At 53.0% G+C, this 24303-nt stretch overlaps 1 pseudogene, besides 1 other annotated feature; it reads left to right on the top strand.

Moving 5' to 3' along the window:
* On the top strand, positions 15900-23718 carry TBC1D3JP (TBC1 domain family member 3J, pseudogene; annotated as a pseudogene).
* Positions 20696-21355: an enhancer, noted in NCBI's record as "H3K4me1 hESC enhancer chr17:34495357-34496016 (GRCh37/hg19 assembly coordinates)". NCBI's record gives its function as "activates a minimal SCP1, AML or CMV promoter by ChIP-STARR-seq in naive H9 embryonic stem cells {active_cell/tissue: H9 hESC(naive)}" and the evidence as "EXISTENCE:reporter gene assay evidence [ECO:0000049][PMID:30033119]".

The raw sequence follows: 24303 nt of genomic DNA, 5'->3' as shown, positions 1-24303 counted from the left end.
AAGGAACCATTAATTTCGATAACCATCCTGCAGGTGGACCTTTTCTGTAAATGTGAGGGCAAATGGTCTGAGGCTCCATATGTGCAGGCCTTCTTTACCTTGCAGGGCAATCCAGACCTTTGCTGACAGTGTAGGATTGCTCCAGACCTCTTGTTTGCCATCTCAGAGAACAATACCAGAGAACTAAAGAAATGAACTCCAGAGGCACCTCCAGCAAGGGAGCCAGCTCCCACTGGCCCTGCTCCTCTGGGTCCACCCCATCCTGCCTACCCAGTTTTTCTCTCACTTGGCCCCTCCTAGAACTCCTCACCCTAGACAAGCCCCAGTCTCATTCCTGCCCTCCATCAGATGCTTGGTGAATTTGGCCCCCTGGTCCAGGTCCCCCTTCTCTCTACAGGACTTAAAGCAAATTAAGGGGGATCTTGGCAAGTTTTCAGATGACCCTGACAGATATATAAAGGCTTTCCAGAATTTAACCCAAGTATTTGAACTCTCCTGGAAAGACATTATGTTACTTTTGAATCAAACCTGACTAACACTGAGAAGCAGTCTGCTCTGCAAGTGACAGAGAGATCTGGGGATGAGGTTTGTGTCACATATAGTGTCAGGGAGGGGGTCAAACTTTATCCAACTGGAGGAGAAGCAGTACCAATGAATGACCCTAAATGGGATCCCAATGACAAGACGGGAGAATGTAAGAGGAGACAGTTTCAGGTGGGCATAATAGAGGGCTTATGTAGGACTAGAACTAAGCCTCTCAACTATACCAAGCTATCCAGGATGGACCAGGGATTCAATGAGCATCCTACTGCCTTCCTGGAGAGGCTAATAGAGTCTTGGTAAAGCACACCTCACTAGCTCCTGATTCCATCAAGGGACAAGTAATCCTAAAGGATAAATTTATTACTCAGGCAGCCCCTGATATCAGGAGAAAGCTGCAGAAACAGGCCCTGGGACCAGATAGTACCTTAGAGAATCTCCTGAAAGTGGCCACCTCAGTCTTTTGTAATAAGATAGGGAGGCCCAGAAGAGAGAGAGAGGAGACACAGGCAAGAGGCAGAGGCTTTAATGGCCACCATGCAAACCCACAAACTCCAGAATCCCCAAGCTACACCTGTTAACTGCTACAGATGTGGTAAGCCAGGGCATTTTAGGAAGGATTGCCCAGGCAACATGAGGAAGCCACCCCAACCCTGTCCAATGTACAATGGGGACCACTAGAAAGTGGACTGTCCCCGGGGGCACTGGTCGCCAGGCCCAGAGCCAATCTCCCAAATGGTCCAGCAAGACTGACAAGTCCTGGGGCTCCTCTCCCTGGCTCCGGTGGTCCAGACCACCATTACCATCCAGGAGCCCCAGAATTTACAATTCTGGATATGGAAGGGAGGAAAGTGGACCTCCTTCTGGACGCTGGGGCTGGTCTCTCGGTTTTCATCTCCAATTCAAGCCCCCTGTCCTCTCTTAGCATGACTGTGAGGGGCATCCCAGGAAGGCCTTAAACCCAATATTTTTTCCAACCCCTTAGTTGTAGTTGGGGAGACCTCTTGTTCACCTGTGCCTTTCTAATTGTGCCTGAAAGGCCAAATACTCTGTTGGGTAGGGGTATTGTGGCCCGTGTAGGAACCACCATCCTGATGGCCCCAGGACAAACTCTTTGTCTCCCCTTAGTGGAGACTGATTTTAACCCAGAAGTTTGGGTAACTCAAGGGAAAATTGGCAGAGCCACAACCACCATACCAGTCTGAACCAGACACAATAGCCCCTGAAACCAGAAGTTAAGAAAAGACCAGAAGCCATCATTGATAACTTAAGGTTGCAGTACCTCCTCAAACTCTGCAACAGCCCTTGTAATACCCCAATATTGGGGGTACAAAAACCCAAAGGGGAATGGAGACTAGTTCAGGACCTTCATCTTGTTAATGAGGCTGTGGTTCCAATTCACCCAGTGGCTCCCAATCTGTATACCTTGCTAGCTCACATACCTGAGGGAACTAAAAGGTTCACAGTCCTGGACCTAAAGATATAATGGTATGCTTCTTCTGCATACTGTTATATAAACCCCCAGTATTTGTTTGCATTTGAGGATCCCTCTAACCAGACCACCCAGTTAATCTGGATAGTGTTACTTCAGGCATTCTGAAACAGCCCCCACTTTTTTGGGCAGGCACGGTCAAGAGACTTCTCCAAGTTCCTTTATCCTCAGGTGAAAGTTTTACAATATGTAGATGACATTCTCCTCTGCACTCTAACTAAAAAAATCTCTCAGGAGGGCAGTAAGGCTCTTCTTAATTTTCTGGCTAACAGAGGATGTAAGGTTTACTAATTAATGAGATAATTCCTCGCTTTGGACTCCCTAAGTACCTCCAGAGTGATAATGGCCCCTTGTTCAATGCGGCTGTCACCCAGGGGATCTCAAAGGCACTAGGCATACAGTACAATGAAGATGGTTCTTCATTGTGCTTGGAGACCACAATTCTTAGGAAAGGTAGAAAAGACAAATGATATTATCAAAAGACACCTCAGGAGACTCACCTCCCCTGGACTACCCTTCTGCCCATATCTCTACTATGTATTAGAAACACCCCTTCAAGGCTAGGTTTGAATCCCTTTGAAATGATGTATGGATGGCCTTTTCTCACCAATGATTTCTTGCTAGACCAAGAAACCTTTGATTTGGTTAAACATATCACTTCTTTGGCCCATTTCCAACAGGAACTGAAACAACTGTCAGAGAGGCACAATCCCATGAACCAGGACCACCTCTATTCAACCCTGGGGACCTAGTACTGGTAAAGGTACTTCCTTCCCTTTGTCCCTCTATAAGCCCAGATTGGGAGGGACCTTACACTGTACTTCTTTCTACTCCTATGGCAGTGAAGGTCACTGGAATAGATTCTTGGATTCATTATACCCTAGTAAGGGCCTAGGAAGCTAATGGAGTTACCTCCATTAACCCAGAAGAGCACTCAAAGTACCAATGTGAAGAGATCAGGGACCTCAAGCTAAGAATCACAAAAGATAAGTGTTAATAATTAACCTTCCATGGATATCTTCCTTAAAAGTCTTGGCTATGCTTGCTGTTCTTACCTTTGCTCTGTTCTATACCACAGGATATAATGTTGTTTTCAGAATAATTTGTATATTTTACTTCTTATTTCTGTAAACTTTGCCACTAGATTCTTTCCTTTTAACCCCTTTTTGTATAATACACATATTTGATTCATGCATACTTAACCTTGTAGAACTTGTTTCTTCTCACCTAGAGACCATCAAACTCCAAATGGTCAAGGCAAGCAGAGCCCTGGATGATGGCTCCCTTTTGCTGGGGACCCTTAGGTAGACCTCTGGGAAGAATCTGACTGCTCTTCTCCCCAAAACAATGCCCCCTCTCTGCAGGAAGCAGCTTAGATCGGTCATTGTCTGTATCCTAACAGCAGTTAGATGTGCATCTTCAGAGGGGGGAAATGATAGCTACAGGAGGCCGAGAAATTCTAGGCAGACACGGGGTTGGCGGGGGGGTCCCCGGTGAAGCCCCCCCGACTCAAGCCAAAAAGCCTGAGACCCAAAGTGAGAACTTCTATCGATGTTTTCCTGCTCAAATGTTGCCTTTTCCTAAACTACACATGGCCCTGCTCCACCCCATCCTGTCCCTATAAAGACCCCAGACTCAGCCATCAGAAAGAAGGAGCTGGACATCAGGCACTCTGGCTGAATGTCAGAGAGAAATGGCTTGACTTCAGAGGGACGGTCTGACAGCGTAACTTTGGAGAAGAATCAGCTGGAGATGGCCGGACTTCAGGGGAGGATCACTTACACCCCCCTGACCCCTTTTCAGCTCCCATTCCCACTGAGAGCCACTGAGGGCCACTTTAATCAGCCGTAAAATCCCCGCATTTACCATCCTTCAATTCATTCATGCAACTTCATTTTTCCTGGATGCTGGACTAGAGCCTGGGAGCTACGAGTGCAGATACAAAAGGCTGTCACACTGGCCCTTTGCCCTCGCTGGTGGAAGGCAGCCGCCTCATGTGAAAAGGCAGAGGGTCCACTGAGCTGTTAATGCTTAAGCCATCCATGGACAGAAGAGCTAAAAGAACACCGTAACACGCCCTCTGGGGCTTCAGGGGCCACAGGAACCCTCCTGCCTAGATGCTGCTGTGGAGCCCACACAGAGTTTGCTCCTGCCGGCGCCCAAAAGCACTCTCCCCAGATCCTGCACCCACTCACCTGTGTGCTCCCTCCTGCAAGGGGTGGTCCAAGTGAGTGAAGATCGCTCCTGCCAGCACCGAAGTGGCCAGCTGGTTCCAGCACTTGTGCACTCCAGTTCCTGCCTCATTCACTCATGCATTCCCTCCCACGGGATGTTGAGAGCTGCCGGCTGAGTAAATGAGGCACTCCTGTTGCAAATCCCGCGAAGCGGTCAGGGAAATACCCTGCTTCGCTAGAACCATCTGTCCACATTTGGGGTTCGCTCTCCTCTCTATTCTCCTCATCCTCCCTACTTCCTAGTGTGTAACACAGCCTTAGAGTTAGACCTGGGTTCACAGTCTGTCTCTGACACTTTCTAGCTGTGGAGCTTCGACCAGTTTCTTTATTCCCTGAAGCCTTTGTTTCCTCATCAGTAAGTGGAAATAATACCACTGTCACAGGCTTTTTTGCAAGAATTAAACGAGACACTATGAATAAGTGCCTGGCTGTTAGTAAGTTTTCAGTTATTGGTAGCTGTCCTCACCAACTCCCTGGTTAGACCCCTTTCCTTCACTTCTCACATCTGATTGCTTCCCAAGTTTTTTCAAGCCTGTCTTTCTTCAATCTGACCCTTCTCTGTTCTCAGAGACCCTTTCTAGGTCCTCAACCTATTGTATTTTGCTCATTCTCCTTGGATTTTTTTTGCCTTTGGTCTTATCCACTCCAATCTCTCTCTTTTTTTTTTTAATTTGTTTTGTTTTGTTTTGTATTTAGAGACAGAGCCTTGCTCTGTTGCCCAGGGTGGGGTGCAGTGGCATGAACGTAGTTCATTGCAGCCTGGAACTCCTGGGTCAAGCAATGCTCCTGCCTTTGCCTGCCAGGTAACTGGGACTACAGGTGTGTGACACCCATCTGGCTACTTAAAAATTTTTTTTGTACAGATGGGGTCTTGCTTTGCTGCCGAGGCTGGACTTGAATTCCTGGGCTCAAACGATCCTCCTGCCTCAGCTTCTCAAAGTGCTGGAATTACAAAAGCGTGAGCCCCCACACCTGGCCCCAATCTTTGTTTTTGCAGCAGTAGTTTTCAATCTTTTTAAAATTAATATCTCTAGATAAATCTTTAAACAGAAGAAAGCACTCTTCTGTAATCAGGGATAGGATATGGAGTCCCAAACACCTCCCTGGATCCCTCATTCACTGCAGCCCTGCGAAGCTCCACCAGGATCCCTTAGGGCATTGAGAAAGTCATTTTTGCCACCCTATTGCTGCCAGCGGTGATGTTTCTGAACATGTGGATCTGACAAGTTCACTCCTCTGGTGAATTTCTCCAGGGTTCACTAGCACCTCACGTAGAGGTTCCTAACCTGGGTATTGCCCTCTCTAGTCAACCTCCAACTTCACATGATGTTGTAGATATATATTTTTTAAACATGGCTCTGATTGTGTCACCCATGGCTCAGCATGGCGGTAAAGGCCCTTCACAGTGTGGCTCCAGCCTCTCTTTCTGCAAGGCACCTCTACTTCACCCATGCCAGGCCTGGCACTGCTTCCCCACTGCCTTTTTTCTTTGCCCTTGCACCTCTTTTTGCTGCATGCTAAGTCACCGCTTGTGTCCTCCTGCCTGAATTCCTCTTTTTCCCAGGAGACTCAGGCTAGGGTGGGGAGAGTCTTGCTAAAGCCCTAAGCAAGGAAGATTGATTTCCAGGAGTGTAGACAGGCTAACATGGGCAATTCAGGCCTTCACCTTTATCTGTGTAGATAATGTTTCAGACACACGGAATAGTCCAGGTGTCAAATTCCTTGTGGAAAGAAAACTTGACATTGATCTACTGTCAAATGGTTGCTTTGGTTTTTCGAATAGTTAAGATAGACATAATCAAAGATCACATCATTCGGCAAATTTTTATTTATTAAATACCAAAATTTGGTTCCCTTTTAACTACATGCCTAATCCTACTTCCTTTCTCAGCCAGAATTGTAAACCTTATTTTATTCTGGCTTTGCCTGGGTAGTCCCACCATTGTCTTCCAACATTCTCAGGGGAATCTGTAAGATTGCTATCCGAAAACTTTGTGGGGGAAATTATACAACAATTTGAAAAACTTTAAAGAGTACATAAATGATGGAATGTTAGTCCTATGTACTAAAAATGCCAATTATCTTGTAATTCATTTAAACAGTCAAAGAGATTCTAGTCTAGGTGCAGTGGCTCATGACTGTAATCCTAGAAGTTTGGGAGGCCAAAGCAGGAGGATCACTTGGGCCCAGGAGTTAGAGACCAGCCTGGGCAACATGGCAAAACCCCGTCTTTACAAAAAATATATAAAAATTAGCTGAGTGTGGTGGTGTGTACCTGCAGTCCCAACTACTTGGGAGGCTGAGGTGGGAGGATAATTTGACACTGGGAGGCAGAGGAGGATCACGTGCAGTGAGCCATGATTGTGCCACTGCACTCCAGCCTGGGCGACAGAGCGAGACTCCGTCTCAAAAAAAAAAAAAAAAAAAAAAAAAAAGTCTTTAGCCAGAATGGATCACCATTGAATGGGCCTATATTTTCCAAGCAGGATTTGATTAAATCTGGTCACACTTTAGGCCTCAAATTCAGAGATGATGTAGGCAACGCTCAGTGGAGACATCCCATAATGGAAGTGGACAGAAGTCCAGGAAGAATGACCTGACTCTGCAGTGCCACCAGAGTTGCTATAAAGTTCTGAAATATATTATGTTTCTTCATAAAAGTTAAGTTCTACAGTCAGCATGAAAGTCAGAAACTACATTGCGGTTTTTTTGTTTTGTTGTTTTTTTGAAACAGAGTCTCACTCTGTCACCCAGACTAGGCTCACTGCAGCCTCCACCCTCTGGGCTCAAGCCATCCTCCCACCTCAGCCTTCTGAGTAGCTGGGACTGCAGGCATGCACCACCACGCCTGGCTAATTTTTTATATTTTTTGTAGAGACGGGATTTCACCTTGTTGCCCAAGCTGGTCTTCAACTCCTGGGCTCAAGTGATCTGCCTGCCTCAGCCTCCCAGAATGCTGGGATTACAGGCCTGAGCCACCATGCCCAGCCAGAAACATGTTTTAAACCAACCCTCAACCAACCCATACTTTGGAGAAATACCTACAGAAACTAAGATTGGTGGGAGGCCCAGCAGCGTCTCACCTCCCATCTCAGACTCAGTCCAGGACACAGGCTCAGGGGGCAGAAGGAGGGCTGATTCGCCTGCATCTTTTGAAATTCTTTCTTTCTGTCTCTGCCTCTGCCTCTCTCTGTCTTCCTCCCTTCCTCTCTCTCTCTCTCTCTCTCTTTCTCTCTCTCTCTCTTTATTTATTTCACCTGAGTTTCAGAGTCCTTGGCTGAATTTGTCCACAACTTCCTGCAGCTCTAGCTGGGAGCCGAGAAGCATCACTGAGGACCACAGCCCCTTGCTTCCCAGAGCCCGGTCCCCTGCACTGAGACTGCTGTTTTGGCGCCTGTGGTGGTCCTCTTCATCCTCCACTCTGCTTCCCAACTCACTTACCACATATGGTCACCACCTCCTGGGTCATGTCACAGGGTACCAGGGCTGGAGTTGTTTCACCAGGTCAACAGGCATGGCTGCTGCCCTAGTTAGAGAATGTCCTAGAAGACAGGTCAAACCATCATGACATCCTTGGGACCAGGGGATAGGAGACAGAGGCCCCCAGTGCACAGTTGTGTGCATTGGTGCCCATATCCCCTTGCTCAACTTCTAGGAACTGGCTCTGGCCCCCTGCACACTCCACAGGCCCCTCCTGCCAATCTGCCTCTAACAATTTTCCTGCCTTCCCCTTTGGAGGGCAAAGACCAGAGGTGGCCCCTTGTTTTGTTGAGAAGCTCAGGGATCTGGTTCTTCCAAGGAGTCTTGGAATCAATCCCTCCTTGTCACTGTGCCCTAGAGTGTCTTGTAGCCTCCATTCCCATGGGTCTTCTTGGGCAGGTGGCAAATAGAGCTGACTGAGCAGTAGGGTGACTCCTTCCAACCTAGAATCCCAAGCTGCACAGTAAGGACGTAAGAGGACCGCCAGGCCCAGCACTCCCACTCTCCCCATGTGAGGGTAAAAGTTGATGACATCTCCCAGCCCTGCGAAGGTCCCGCATCCCACTACCTGCCCTCCCGCAGCTGGAAGGGCTGACTCCTGGAGAGGGAGGATTTACCTGAGGGCTCTGACCACCTTAACTGCCCAATGCCTTTCTGGAGACAGTGGCTGCCAAAGGAGACACGGACCTGTTGCCCATCTGGACAGTGTTTGTCAGGGAAGAAAGGGCGGCTTATGCAGCAGCCAGGCAGCACCGGGAAGGAGCTGGGTTGCTCCCGCCTTCCCGTTTGCATCACGCGACTCCGCGGGTCCCAGCGCGGCCCTGGCTAACCCGGATCGGCGCCACTGCCGGGTCACTGAGCCTCTCCAGGACGGAGCCTCGCTTCGCGCAGGAGCCCAGGCCATCCTCGCTGCGGAAAAAAGGCGGGATTCCTCTCCTGACCCATAGTAAACGAGCTGCGCTGGGGCGCGGGGAGCAGACTGCTTTTCTGGGGAAGCCGTGGGGCTCTCCACTTTTCGGGGTGGGGAGGGGAAGCTGAGCAGGGCGCAGACCAGGGGCCTGCCACATGGCCTCTGCGCCAAAAGAGTAGAGCCCAGGATGAGGGGCCCCTAGCCAGGCAGACCCAGCCCAGGAGGTTTTGGGTCTTGGGGCCTTGGGTGTGGACTGGTCCTAGATGAGCCCGCCAGGTTGGGTGCCACCGGCCTTGACGGGTTCAGGAGATGGGACGTTATGTCTAGACGCCGCCACGCTTTATCGCAAGCCCGGGCCTCATCTAGACCCCAAGGGGCACCCCAACCTGTTTAGGGTTCCCGGGACTCGTGCGCTTGCCCGCCTAAGGCGGTAAATTGCCATCGTCTCCAAAGGCCGCCCCCACTTCGTCCGCTCCCCACCCGCCCCCAACCCCAGGCTCAGAACCCGCCAGAGCAATCCAGGCCCGTTCTCTAGGTCAGAAATGCCGGCCCTGGGGTCATTTGTCCCTGTAGGGAGAGCGCCACCCGCTTGCCCCGGGGCGCTGTCCAAGCCGCGGTGCTGAAGCGCTCCGGGCCCTGACTCAGCGAACACACAGTCGTCACCGCGTGCAGCCGCCACTCCCCAGCCTGGGCCCGCTCCAGGCCGCGCCCACACCGGCTAATCATCCGCCCGGATGCACGTCTGCCTCATCAGGCTTAAACTAGAATCGCCTCGGAGGTTGGAGATTCCTGAGGAGGCCCAGAAAGGGCCAATGCTTGTCCCGGGCCAGGCAGCTGGGAGAGTGTGGAGCTCCATTCCTGAGCTCCATCCCGGATCCCGCAAGCAGCGGCTCACTCTGCCTGCTCCAGACCCGTCCCCTCCAGTGAGCCCAGAGGAGGGTCCACTCACTCTCGAAGAACGCATTCTTCCCACTGGCATCCAAGCCCAGCAGACCCTGCTACCTATGGGGTGGTGGGGGGGAGCGCAGTCAGACAATCCCTGGAATTGGTCCCGCACACCGCCAGCAGTGAAGATGCCTCTCTCCCTTATTTCTGGATGCCCCCCACAGCTTCTATGGATGCCCACAACCCCTTCCTCCCTCCACCCTCAATGTCCAAGCAGGCAAAGAAGACCGGGTGTCCCCAGTGAAGGGCTCTGCAGTGAGGGGTCTAGAATCTTGCCCTTGAAGGAGTAAATGATATCCCTCGAGTTGAGCGTGATCATGATGGCATGATATTGGGCCAGGCACTAGTCCAGCAAAGAGAGGCCAGAAGAAGCAGCCAGATGGCAGTGCTGGTGCCCAGAACCATGACCTGTCTTGCCCCAGGCCCCCACGGGTGACTTCTTAGAGTCGGCCAAGGATCAGTGCAGGCCAGGAGAGAGATGAGATAATAGTCAAGGCAAAAGGGTTTTGAGAGGATGTTCCAGGGGAGCAGAGCTAGCTGCCAGCACTCATTTGGTAGATACAAATGTCGTGTCCTGGTCTCTGGTCTCGGCAGATGTGTTCAATAACTCACGTCTGGCATCTCCAACTGCTAGGCCGTTCCATTTCGAGCTGTGGAGAGCATTCTGGCTAGACCCCGTGAGCAGGGCCCCAGGGGACTGGGCTCTGTGTCAGGGATGAGTTCACACTATGGCAAAGAGCAGGTGGTGGCCTCAGGGCTGTTGAGCTGTCCCAGAACAGGATTCTTTTCTTTTCTTTCTTTCTTTCTTTCTTTCTTTCTTTCTTTCTTTCTTTCTTTCTTTTCTTTTCTTTCTCTTTCTTTCTTTCTCTTTCTTTCTTTCTTTCTTCCTTCCTTCCTTCCTTCCTTCCTTCCTTCCTTCCTTCCTTCCTTCCTTCCTTTCTTTCTTTCCTTTTTTGAGATGGAGTCTCACTCTGTCACCCAGGCTGGAGTGCAGTGGCATGATCTTGGCTCACTGCAACCTCCATCCCACGGATTCAAGTGATTCTCCTACCTCAGCCTCCCAAGTAGCTGGGATTACAGGTGCCCACCACCATGCCCAGCTAATTTTTGTGTTTTTAGATAGACATGGGGTTTCGCCATGTTGGCCAAGCTGGTCTGCAACTCCTGACATCAAGTGATCCACCTGCCTCAGCCTCCCAAAGTGCTGGGATTACAGGCGTGAGCCACCTCGCCCAGCCCAGAATCAGGATTCTTAAAATGATTGTGCTGCATACTGAATCATGTTGCTTTTGACTCTTGTAGCTGGCCCCCTTCCTTCTCTAGGGTGCCTGCTGGTACACCCTGGATGATGTCTGAGACAGATGGTGCTGCTCAGCCCCTTGAGGGGCTGCTCTGCCCCATGGTTGAGGTGGACTGTCAACCATGGGGCAGGAAGATCTAACTCCCCTCCCTCATGGTCCTCACATTGTGGGTCCCCTGGCAATAGATAATAACAAGTGTCACCATGGACATTAGAGTGACCCCAAGAGACAGAAAAGGTGGGTATTAGTGAACACATTAGGGGAGACAGAAGGGCAGAGAGGGCACGGGACAGTCACCAAGACTCCTAATGACTAACTTCTTCAAACTTCTCAGCAACATCCTCTTCCCTGTCCCCTGCTCTCCACCTCATCCATCAAGGAGCTGATGCTAATGGGGTTCCCTTGTTCAGAGCCAGACTGCTATGGTTACTATGGTAGTTAACAAACAGCCACTCCAGGCTCTTAACAAAGTAATCCTCCTGGAGGGACAGAAGAGGGCTTCTGTGGCCCGAGGACCAACATGTTACCTCTTGGCTGGCTTGGCAGCCATGGCAAGGACATGAACAGCATCCACTGAGGAAAGGAGACTGCTGGGCACACCGTGGGGAGGGGCAGGAGCCTGGAGGAAGTGCAGATGTCGGGATTTGGCTGCCGGCCACACCTGCTGGGCCCTCAGGTCGTGAGACACAAAGTGTTGCTTTACCTTCTCATTGCGGTAGCCAATCCAGAGCTGTGACAGCAGTTGTTGGGGAAGAATGTGAATCCAAACGCATTCAGCAAGCCTGCTAGAATGGGAAAAACCCAGGGGGCCCTGGGAGAGGGTCTCCCTGAAGCCCAGGGTGGCAAGGCTCCCGCCAAATAGAATAATTCAGCATCTGTATAAACCAGAATAATTCTACCACCTGGATGACCTACAGTAAGGCTGAGGAACATCACACTGGGCAGTGCACAGAGCAAATGCAACCCTCCATACACCACCTGGAATGGTCCCCGTTTCCCATTCTGCTCTCTCTGTGAGCCTAGAACAGATGCAAAGGCCCAGTGGAGGATGAGGGGCAGCCCCAGCGCACCAAGGCCTACTTTTGAGTCTGTATTTTCTGGTCCTGTGTCTCTTAGGAGTAGCCCCTTCTGCTGGAACTTCTGAGCAGCTTTTTAATGCCTCATCCCCAGACAGGAAGAGATAGTCAAAGATTGTTAGCCTTTTTGAGGCCAGATGTGGTGGCTCATACCTGTAATCCCAGCACTTTGGGAGGCCGAGGCAGAAGGATCACTTGAGGCTAAGAGTTCGAGACCAGCTTGGCCAACATGGTGAAACCCCATCTCTACCAAAAATACAAAAATTAGCCAGGCATGGTGGCAGTCCTGTAATCCCAGCTACTCGGGAGGCTGAGGCACAAGAATCACTTGAACCCAGGAGGTAGAGGTTGCAGTGAGCCAAGTTTGTGCCACTGCACTCCGGCCTGGGCGACAGAGCAAGACTGTCTCAAAAAGACAAAAACAGAAACAAAATCAATTTGATGGAAAGAAAGAACTAGTCTAAGAAAAAGAAAGAGCTTTTAGAATTTAAACTGTTTAGCCAGGTGCGGTGGCTCACACTTATAATCCCAGAGCTTCTGAAGGCTGAGGTAGGAGGATCTCTTGAGACCAGCCTGGGCAACAAGTGAGACCCCATCTCTTAAGAAAAATGTTTTAAATAATTTAAGCTGTTTAATAAAAATTCAGTAGGATTGGAGGATAAAGTTGAAAAAATCTCCCAGGAAGTTAGCTGGAGGTAGGGGAAGGAGAATTGGAGTAAAAGAAAAGGAAGGAAGGAAGGAGACGAAAAGAGTTAGTTGATTAACTTCGTATTAGTAGAAATTCTAGGAAGAGAAAACAATAGGGAGGAAATTATTATAACGAATTTTTGTAAATCCCCAGAATGGAAGAGCATATGTTTACCAGCTGAAGGAACTGATACCACATATCCACATAATGCGTGAAAAAAATACCATAGAAAGCACAGCACTGGCAATTTTGAAAAATGCCTACAGGATAAACAAAAGATCCTAAAACTTCTGGGGGAAAAGAAGTCCACCCCCTAGGGACTAGATATTGTCACAGCAACACCGGAAGAATACAGAAGTAAACTTCAAATGTTGGAGGGAAAACTATCTCCATATGGAAGTACATATCTAGTCAAAATATTGATCAAATGTAAGAGTAGAAAAAAGATATCATTAGATGTTCAGGGTCTGAAAACTTTACCTTCCATGTACCTCTGCCAGGAAACTTCCAGAGAATGTACCTCACAAACGTAAAGAAGTGAACTAAAATGCAGAAGCTGTGAGACTCAGAAAAATGGGATGTCATGGGGTGGGAGTGGAGTGCCTGGGGACCCCATAAATGAAGGGGCAGAAACACTCATGCATGACAATTCATAGCAGGAACACGAGGCAGCCAGCCCAAACAGAAGCGGGAGGTCTGAGAGCTCCAGAAAGCCTGGGAGATGCCCTGGTCATTTCCCTGTCCCACCCTCCTACCCCTGGTGCCTCACCCAGGGCTGGCAAAGGAAGGGAGCTCAACTCATATGTGGATGATGGCAGATCCAGCGCACAGGCACGAATGAGTTCATGATGAAAGTGAAGTGCCAGGGCATGAGAGTGAAGTGCCGGGCAGGCAGTTCCCTCTGAGCAGCTGTGCCACTACCACTTGACACACACTACATGCTCCTGCAGCAGCCCTGTTGCTGCCACCAGACGCCCACACCACCCCGGGAGCCTCTGTCCTCGCCCAGCCAGTCCTCAGCATTGTCCCTACCTCCATGGGAACAGATATGAGAGGGATGCTGGTGAGCGGCAAGCAGGCTGCTCCAGCAAACCCTCTTTCATAAGTAACCCAGTTAACTTCTGAGGTGCCCTGAGCATCTGCTATGCTTGGCACCAAGTGCTTTATATGTGTACTTTTTAATCCACTGGGAGGCCATTTTATAGGGAGGGAGCTGAGGCTTGGGGTCTGAGGTGGGGGCACCAGGCTCCATCTCCTTCCTCATGTCCTGTGCCGACCCTGGGTGATTACCCTCAACCTCAAGTCAGAAACCTGCCCCTTGTGGGCAGGGACCCAGCATGGCCGGAAAGGGGTCTTTGGTTGGGTTTGTGTGGTCTACATCATGAGTCCAGTCACATGGGATTCCCAGTACATGATAGGGTATTCTGGTACCTCCAAGACCTGGGGTGGCAGGGCAGTGAGAGGGAGGGTATTTGTAGACCAGATAATGCCAGATTTGGGTTCAGTGCTACTGGACCCATTCTGTATGTGGAGCAGAAACAAGGGAGCCGGGGCCCTGTACTCCGATGTCTGTAGCTCAAGGAAGGGTCTGACGCATGCCCTAAACAGAAATCCACCATGGCTTAAGGCCAGGGGCACTGGGCAGAAGAGGACCAGGCAGAGGATTGCGGTGGGCTTTGGAGAAACCAACACTGTCCTGAGCTCACATGTCAAGTACAACACAGGAACGAATCCCTTCACCTTCCTCAGCCTCAGTGTCCCCAGCTAGAAAAAGGGGGTCAAGACAGCCCCTCCTTCAGGGTTGTGGTGAGGACTGTCCTGGGCCAATTGGCCTAAGACCATAAGAGACAGACCTGTACTTCAACTAAGTAAAGATTATTGACTCTCTTAGTAATAGCAGAGACCACACACCAGAGGACACGGAGATTGCCTCACCAAACAAAGGAAAATATAGTTATTATGCTATAGTATTGGAAAAAAAGGTAGAGTGTAGATGGAATTTTTATTGCACCAGCTTTTTGGCTGGGTGCAATAGCTCGCACCTGTAATCCCAGCAATTTTAGAGGCCAAGGCAAGAAGATCACTTGAAGGCAGAGTTCCAGACCAGCGTGGGCAATATAGCAAGACCCCATCTCTACTTTTTAATAACTAAAAAAATAAATAAACCTTTTTTTAAAAAGACATGATCTTATTATATTGTCCAGGCTGGACTCAAACCCCTGGGCTCAAGTAATCCTCCCACCACAGCCTCCAGAGTAGCTGGGACTTCTTACAACAGGGAGCCACAGTGCTTGGCTAACGCACTTTTTTTTATAGACTCAAAGCTAAGGCCTGGACTACGAAGGGCCCAGTATTCTATTTTCCTTGAAAACTACATAAACTTGGAATGTGGTGCCCAGAAAACTTTTTTTTTTTTTTTTTAGATGGAATCTCAGTCTGTTGCCCAGGCTGGAGTGCAGTGGTACAATCTCAGCTCACTGCAACCTCCTCCTCCCGAGTCCAAGTGATCCTCCTGCCTCAACCTCCTGAGCAGCTGGGATTACAGGTGCGTGCCACTATGCCCTGCTAAGTTTTGTATTTTTAGTAGAGACCGGATCGATGATCCCTCAGGGATCATAGGATGGAGAGACAGAGGATCCCTGGGGAGGTAGGGTGGGAGGGAGCTGATGAGCCGTGCCACTTCTGAAATGCAGGGTGTGTGGCTCTGGTGCAGGGAGAGGCAGGTGGATGCTGGGAGGTCAGAACTTGCAAGGGCCTTGGGGCTGTCATGGGGGATGGGCCCCTGGGGCACCCAGAGTACACCGGGCAGGTCTCAGGGCAGGCTCCCTTGACCCTGGCAGGGTGATGTGGTCACTCCCTGAGGGACTCCTGTCAGGGCCCGGTCGCCCACCCTGGGCGGCCCCCATCCCACCTCAGGGCTAACCTTTCTCAGCTCCAGCAGAAAGCACCACCTCGAGTCCAGGACGGGCAGCCCCACTGGGCAGCCTGACCGCCCCCCACGCCAGGGGCCCCAGTAACCCCAGCCAGGCTGTCCCTACACTCCTTCTTCTCCCAGGTCCTGCCCCTTCTGGGAGTCAGCCCCACAGGAAGGCCCTTGTCCTCCCTTCCCTGTGCCTTCTCCTGGGTTGAGCCCTGAGCTGGATAGGGACAGAGCCAGTCCTTTCTGGGGATTGGCTCCCAGTCTGGGATGGCTCCAGGCCCTGTGCAGGTCCTCAGCTTTGCCTGGGTTGTCTTACAGTGAGACGGAGCTGCCTCCTCTGACTGCGTGGGAGGTGAAGGTAAGAACCTGATGCATGGAGGGGCTGGTCCAGGGATGTAGGGACTGGGCAGGTGGTCGGTGAGGCAGAGGAGGCAGCTGGCCTGGGCGGTGGTGGGTGAGGGCAACACGCTGTCACTGGGAGGGGCAGCAGTCCCTGCTGGACCTGACCCCAGGTTGCTGTGACTTTGGCAGTTTGATAAAATTCCAAAGTGAGAACCACAGTCCTGGCTTGGGAGTGGCTGCCCGCTTGTGTCAGGACCCCACCTAGAGGCTGGGACCTAAGACTGGTGTGTTTGTGGCCTGAGGATGGCATGTCCCCAGGTCCCAAAGCCAGCCCACTGGTGCTCATTTGCTCAAAGGCTCTCAGCCATTGAGGTCTGCCCTTCCCTGGCTCCTTCCAGCTGGCTCCCACCAGGGGTCCAGAGCCCAAGACCCAGCATCCACGGGTGGCTCTGGAAAGCCTGGCAGCTCCACTAACTCCAACATACCTCATTTGACAGCAAATGTGGTGGGAGATGAGACGAACGAGCAAGTGGATGGAAATGCTGGGAGAATGGGAGACATATAAGAACAGTACCAAAGTAATGTGTGGAGGGAGAGGCCCCTGGAAGCACTCTCTGCAGAGACAGGGGACAGGCACCCATGGCTGTGGCCTGGCACCGTCAGCCTCTCAGAGGGTGGGTGGCACACTGTCCTCGCCCAGAGGACTGCAGGCCTGGTCGCCAGATTTCCTGCCTATTCGTGCAAGCGTCACCTTGCTGGGAGGGAATCTGAATCTAGGGCTGGGACTACCCGGAGCTCAAGGCTAGGGATGCCCTGGTGACCTGAAGGAAGGAAAAGGTTCAGATCAGAGTTTTGACTCTGAGTGTCCATCCACTCTCAGTCCTGGGAAGAGAGGCCCTGTCCCAGCTTGATCTCACCTCTACCGAGGAATCATGGGGCCAAAACCGACAATTTCCAGAATCCTTGGGCTCTGGTCTTCACTGGGGTCACCCGGTGGCCTGTGATACCAGATTGTTTTTTGCACACAGCTGATAGATCTAGTGTACAAGGGCATTCCCATGAACATCCGGGGCCTGGTGTGGTCAGTCCTCCTGAACATTCAGGAAATCAAGTCGAAAAACCCCAGAAAATACAAGGTACGCTCAGCCAGAGCATAACAAACAGGACAGGCCGTGTCAGGGGCCCAGGTCTCCAGCTGGAGGGAACGTCAAGCACACCCTGGAGGGGGTGGGGGCAAAGGTCAGATGAACACCCTGGGCACAGATGGTGACACAGTCACCACAGACAAACTGGGCTCTGGTGACCCTCCCCGGCTTCAGTAACAAGCCAAAAAGCAGCTTTCTGCACAAAGAAACCTTCCTTCTGTCCTTCCTTCCCAAAGTGCTGACTGTGGGCTGACTGCCACTGGGGGCAGGGAGCCTTCCATCTGTTCTGAGGCTGCTTCCTCCTCTTGGCCCTGCCCTACAGATCATGAAGGAGAAGGGCAAGAGGTCATCTGAACACATCCACCACATCGACCTGGACGTAAGCGGGACATTAAGGAAGCATATATTCTTCAGGGATCGATACGGAACCAAGTAAGCCTACGGGAGCCACAGGGTCCCAGCAGAGATGGGGTGAATGAGAGGGATGGGGGCTTCCCTGGAGTAGAAGCCAGGGTCACCCAGGAGGGATGACACAGGTGCCAAGAACTGTCCCGACCCAGGGAGCAGCCGGCACCATGAACCGAGCACCTCCCTGGTTCCAAGCCCTGGGCCAGACTGGAACATGTGGGGCCAGAACCCAGGAGGATCCTGAGGAGATGGAAGGCAGCAAACAAAATCATGCACAATGGTGAAGGGTGCTCTCCCTGACCCATGGGGACCCATGGTAGGACCCACGGGAGGGTGGCAGGATAGAGGGCCCATGAGCTCCCCCAGGCAATAATGACAGCACCAAATGCTGGGAGAATTAGGGGTCCTGGAAACTCTCATCCAGGTCTGCTGGGAACATGACATGGCACAGCCACGTTGGCAGCCAGTTGGGAGTGGCTCACAAAGCTCAATGGACTTGAACCACACATCCCCAAAGTGTCACAGATATTGAACCCACTGATTTGGAAACTGACATCCACATGAAACCTGCATGCCAGGTTCACTGCTTGATTCCTCGTCACTCACACACGGAGCCTTCGGGGACGGCCTTCAACACGGGGATGGGGAGAGCAAGGCTGGTCCTCCCTTCAAACAGAAGACCCAGTGAGAAAAGGGAACGAGCCAGTGATGCCCGCACGAATGTGGGTGGATCCTAGATGCATTTTGCTGAGGGACAGAAGCCAGACCCAATAAGCTACCACCGTAGGATTCCCATTCCTAGGCCATTCTGGAAAAGGCCAAACCACAGGGACTGAGAAGCAGTCTGGGTGGCCAGGGGCTGACGGATCGGGGAGAGGCTGGGTGCATAGGGGCCACCCTGGAGACTTGGAGGATGAAGGAGTCGCCCCAGGAGGGGCTGGAGCGGTGGCCGGGAGACTCTGCACATTGGTTTGGAACCGTGGAGGAACTGTACACCCACAGACTGAACTGGCGTGTGTGCAAACTGAAAAAAAAAAAATCATTCAGAGTGAAAAGGATCAGGCAAGTCACTGTACAACAGGACTATTTGCATGTCACAGATGTGGATTTTACTGAAACTTTTCTTCAACAGTCTCAGGCCCTGAAGAGCTCACTGCTTATCTGGTGAATCATCTGAACCTGAAATGGGATTTGCTGTTAGGATTTGTAGACAAAGTGAAATTAACAACATCTGCACAAAACAAACCAAAGCCCCCTTTCTCTGTTTCCTAGGCAGCGGGAACTATTCTACATCCTCCTGGCATATTCGGAGAATAACCTGGTGAGTATTCCCGGCAGTGAGGTTCCCGGGCCATATTTCCATATTGACAGGAGTGGGTGTCTGGTGGGGGTGTCGTTGCTTCTTTTAAAGTTAGTATTTGTGACCCACCAGGATATAGGAGGTAGGATTCCAGCTCACCGATGGCATAAACCTTCAAGCAAGGGGGTGGTCTCAAGGGGTCAAGCTGAGACACAAAGGAGTCAGGGCCCGGACTCCTGGTGTCACCTGGGCCTGACCACCACTTCTCAGAACAAGAAATGACGCCCTCCTCCTGGGGCTGCCCCAAAGCCCATGAGCTTGGCAGCATCGCACACAGGATGGTGCTATCAGCAGACATTTTGGACAAGGTGCTGAAGTGCCTGATGGACTTGGCTCTTGTCATGAAATGAATGTGCATCCTGAGGAAGCCTCTTTTTCAGAGGAAGCCTCTTCTTCAGAGGAAGCCTCTCCAGTCACCTCTGCTCTCTCCAATGACATGAGTCCTCCCAGGTGACCTCAGCCCTCCCAGGTGATGTCCTTCCATGGTGACTCTGGCTCTTGCAGGAGGTGGGCTACTGCAGGGACCTGAGCCACATCGCCGCCTTGTTCCTCCTTTATCTTCCTGAGGAGGATGCATTCTGGGCACTGGTGCAGCTGCTGGCCAGTGAGAGGCACTCCCTGCAGGGTAAGTGAACAGCTGCCCCGGGGACCTCCTGCAGCCAGACCTGGGGATGGCCACCCTGACCAGGTGATCACAGCTTTCAGCCAAGGCACCCTCCTTGTGTCGCCAGCTTGTTGGGAGACTTTAGGATGTCTCTGCTGAGGGTCCCACAGGAGTCCACGGCTGACCCCCAAAGCCCAAATCAGACGCCTCTCATCCCCATCAGCAGAGGGCATCTCATCCTCCCCGTGGCCACCCTCTGTGTCCTGGAGCCACGCCCTCTGGCTCTGATTCTGTGCAGCTGACTCTCCCCTCCCTGAGAGTCCTCCTGCCCTCCAGCTGCCCGGGCTCCTGCTGCCATCGGTGCCCACGAATGGGCCGACCAAGCCCAGGTGGCAGCATCTCCCCATCCCCTGTTCCCTGGCCCGACCCCACTACCAGGAGATGACCGGGAAGCCCAGCGCCCACCCAGTTCCGGCCACCCTGTCGTGGCCTGAAAGTCAGGCTTGCCCTTTTTGCACCCTGGCCCAGGAGGCCTCCAGGGGAACCTCCAGCCAGGCTCCAGGGAATGTTCCCGCCCCACCTCCCCAGGGTAAAGGCCGCATGTTGGGGTCACCAGAGGGGAGGGTGGGAGGCCTTGGGGTTTGGGGGCCTCTCCAGCTGCCCAGCTCTTGCAGCTGATGGCTCCACATCTTGGGGGAAGGCTCTGATTTCATGATGGGCTGGGGGCTTCTCAGGATTTCACAGCCCAAATGGCGGGACCATCCAGGGGCTCCAAGACCAACAGGAGCATGAGGTAGCCACGTCACAACCCAAGACCATGGGGCATCAGGTGAGTTCATGGTCCCCTCAGCTCTTCCCAGAGGCCCTGCCTCCCGTGGGGCTGTAGGAGCAGCGGGGCTGGAGCCCCTCGTGGGGCTGGTGACTGGCTGAGTCCCAGCCAGGGCCTGACCTGGGACGTCGGGTTCTCCATGGGCTAGCAGTTGGTTTCCTTTCCTGCCCTGGAGGAGACAGAGGCACAGGGATGGGGGCCCAGCTCCCGCAAAGCAGGGCAAAGGGCAGTGTGTCCACCGGGAGTGTGGGAAGGTGACAGTGTTGTGGGGAGCTCTGGACACCGCCCAGTGTTCTGCACTAGGGGAAGGGTCTTCAGAGACCCGAGAAGAGGGAGGTTTTTAGGGCAGCCCAGTGGCCTGAGCACCTCTGTTGCTTCCATCAGGACAAGAAAGATCTATGTGGGCAGTGTTCCCCGTTAGGCTGCCTCATCCGGATATTGATTGACGGGGTAAGGAGGCATAGGGAGACCCTGGCTCAGGGACCTTCCTTGCCCTGCAGTGCCCTGCTTCCCCAGCCCGGGGGTCTGGCTCACTCCCAGCCCACAGGAGGCTCAGGCGGGTCCCCAAAGGACACACAAGCAAAACCCTCTGCCCAAGAGGGGTCATCCCAGGGCAATGGCTGGGGCTCAGGCCCAGCCTCATGGGCAGACTGGGCCAGGACCCGACTTGAGAGGGCTCAGGGAAGCCTCAAGCCCTGGGCAAGCCCCTCGCTCCAGGAGCCACATCCCCACTCAAATGAGTGCCCCCCATGAGGAGCTTCAAGACCTTGTCTGACCCAGCGTCCTGGAGGGCTCAGGCGACCCTCATGGGGAAGGTCACTGACTCTGGAGACTGAAGCCCCAGTGTGCGCAGCTCGAGCCACCAGCCCCAGCCTGGAAGGACCAGGTTCTTTCACACCTGCTGTCCCCACAGATCTCTCTCGGGCTCACCCTGCGCCTGTGGGACGTGTATCTGGTAGAAGGCGAACAGGCGTTGATGCCGATAACAAGAATCGCCTTTAAGGTTCAGCAGAGTAAGTCTACGTGTGCCCAGCGGGGCCTGGGGAGCCCTGGGGTCAGACCCCGACTGGCCCGAGGGCAGCTTCCTCACACTGTCCTCATGATCCGCTGTTCTGGCCCAGAGGGAGGTCCGGCCAGGTGGGCTGGGCAGGACACTGTGACACCGAGCCCATCCCTCACATGACCCAGATGAAAGTCGAGAGTGTGGTGAGCACTTCCCTGTCCGGATCGCCCCCCAGCCACAGTCTCCTGTGTATATCTGGACGCCTGCGGTGGCCAAAAAAGGATCCGGCACCGCCCAGTAGGAGGCTGAAGTGGCCACGGGGTATGAGCTGTGACCATTCCCAGGTAACTCCCCTGGCCTGATATCCACCCTGTCCCTAGAGCGCCTCACGAAGACGTCCAGGTGTGGCCTGTGGGCAAGTTTTTGGAACCGGTTCCTTGATACCTGGGCCAGGGATGAGGACACTGTGCTCAAGCATCTTAGGGCCTCTATGAAGAAACTAACAAGAAAGCAGGGGGACCTGCCACCCCCAGGTGGGCTCCAGTGCCATGTCCCCTCCCATGTCACCCTCTGGGGTAGTCAGTAGTAGGGGAGTGCCCGGGACCCGCAACCCTACTACCTGGGCCTTCCTCTTCACCTTTTCTTCCTCCTCTTCCTCCTGGACTCTAAGAAAGTACAGGAGGCCCACCGGTCCTCAGGGCAGGCGCTCAGTGCGTGTATACTGGACATGCTGTGCACGCAGGAGGGGGATGTGGGCAAGACCCTCCAACAAGCCCCCTCCCACTTTCCACAGTGTCTCCCTCTCCCCCTCGCAGGGCCCTCCAAGTTACTAGACGAGCCCAGACCCATTTGTGGGAGACCCCGCCCCTCCCTGCAAGCACCCACAGCCGCAGAGAGCAGCAGAGGCCCCTCACTCCTGCACGCTCCTCCAAGGTTGCCAGGACAAGAAGCCTGGAGCCAGGGAGACAAGGGAATCCGTGTCCCTGACCCACAGAGCATTCAGGGAGAGGGCACAGGCGGGACCCCGGGCCCAGAGCCAGAGCCAAGAGTTCAGCCAGAAGTGGGAACGGTCAGTCCTGGCATGGACTGGGCAGCCCAGGAGGGCAGAGGGTGACCCACGTCCGGGCCCAATCACCCACTGCGGAGACGGGTCCCCACGTGAGGTGACAAGGGGCTGGGTGACATCCAAGGCCCCTCCCACCTGAGTTCTGACTGGGGGCCGTATCCCAGGCCCAACAGCCCTGGGACGAAGGTGTGTGGCAGGAAGCCCCCAGCCAGTCTGAACCCTGGGGGCAGTCCCAGGAGCCACCCGCCATGCCACGACAGCTTCCCCACGCCAGGCAGCATGCACCCCTCCCTCTGGGATCAGCAGACTACAGGCGTGTCCTCGGTGTCAGGCCACGGGGGCCACACAGAGACCCCGAGGACTCCAGAGACGCAGGCAGGTGGGGCCCAGCCCGGAAAGGCCTGCGTGGGCTCACTGGAGATGCTGACCGCGTCTGTTTTCCTTTCAGCCAAACCCGAGCAAGGGTCGTCGGCATCCAGGCCTGTGCCGGCTTCACGTGGCGGGAAGACCCTCTGCAAGGGGGACAGACAGGCCCCTCCAGGCCCACCAGCCCGGTTCCCGCGGCCCATTTGGTCAGCTTCCCCGCCACGGGCACCTCGTTCTTCCACACCCTGTCCTGGTGGGGCTGTCCGGGAAGACACCTACCCTGTGGGCACTCAGGGTGTGCCCAGCCCGGCCCTGGCTCAGGGAGGACCTCAGGGTTCCTGGAGATTCCTGCAGTGGAACTCCATGCCCCGCCTCCCAACCGACCTGGACGTAGAGGGCCCTTGGTTCCGCCATTATGATTTCAGACAGAGCTGCTGGGTCCGTGCCATATCCCAGGAGGACCAGCTGGCCCCCTGCTGGCAGGCTGAACACCCTGCGGAGCGGGTGAGATCGGCTTTCGCTGCACTGAGCCACAACGTGGGCATGGACTTCCCGGCCCTGCAGTGCACCCAGCACTGATTCCGACCAGGGCACCCCCTTCAGAGCTAGGGACGAACAGCAGTGTGCTCCCACCTCAGGGCCTTGCCTCTGCGGCCTCCACTTGGAAAGTTCTCAGTTCCCTCCAGGCTTCTAGAAGCATCTGGGCCACGGCTCATGGCTGGATAATTTCCCGAGGCTTAACAACCCAAGCAAGCTTCGCATCCTCGTTTTATTTTTGGTTAAACTTATGAAAATGTATTAAGAAAGAGTGCAGCTCGAGAGAGATTCAGAGATGGAACACACCAGACCCCAGATCACAAAGCCAACCATGCCCGGCCCCTCCCAGCACCCCCAGCCCCACGACCATCGTTCTGAATTCTGACGACACCGTGAGCCTGCCTTTGTACTTTAAACTCATGGCAGGATGACCACCTTCACGTTTTGAAATAAATGTTTCCTGTTGAAATGATTTTAGATTTTAGACAGAAGTATTGAAAAGGCACTATAGTGTCCTCCTACACCTTCCATCCAGCTGCCCCTAATAATGATGTTTTGCAGTCCCATGGCACATAAGAAATTTAGGCCGGGTGTGGTGGCTCACACCTGTAATCCCAGCAATTTGAGAGGTCGAGGTGGGAGGTTGAGGTTCACTTGAGTCTAGAAGTCTGAGACCAGCCTGGGAAACCTAGGTGGACCCGGTCTCTAGAGAAAAGTCAAAGAAATTAGCCAGGCATGGTGGCGTGTGCCTATAGTCCCACCTAGTCAGGAGGCTGAGGCAGGAGGATTGCTGGAGCCCACGAGTTCCAGGAAGCAGTGAGCCATGATTGCACCACTGCACTCCAGCCTGGGTGACAGAGTGAGACTTTATCTCTTAAGAAAATTTAAGAAATTTAATGTGGGTACAATTCTATTAACTAAATAATAATGTGAACTATTATCTAAGGTTATGAAGGCTAGAATTATCCCATAATGGTGTTTTCTCCTTGGTGTAATATTTCACAAAGAGACAAAGAATACATATGTGTGTATGTGAATCATTCATGCTAGTTACCAC

Source organism: Homo sapiens, chromosome 17, assembly GCF_000001405.40.
Source record: "Homo sapiens chromosome 17, GRCh38.p14 Primary Assembly".
Taxonomy (NCBI): domain Eukaryota; kingdom Metazoa; phylum Chordata; class Mammalia; order Primates; family Hominidae; genus Homo; species Homo sapiens.
This window is presented reverse-complemented; position numbering and strand designations above follow the sequence as displayed.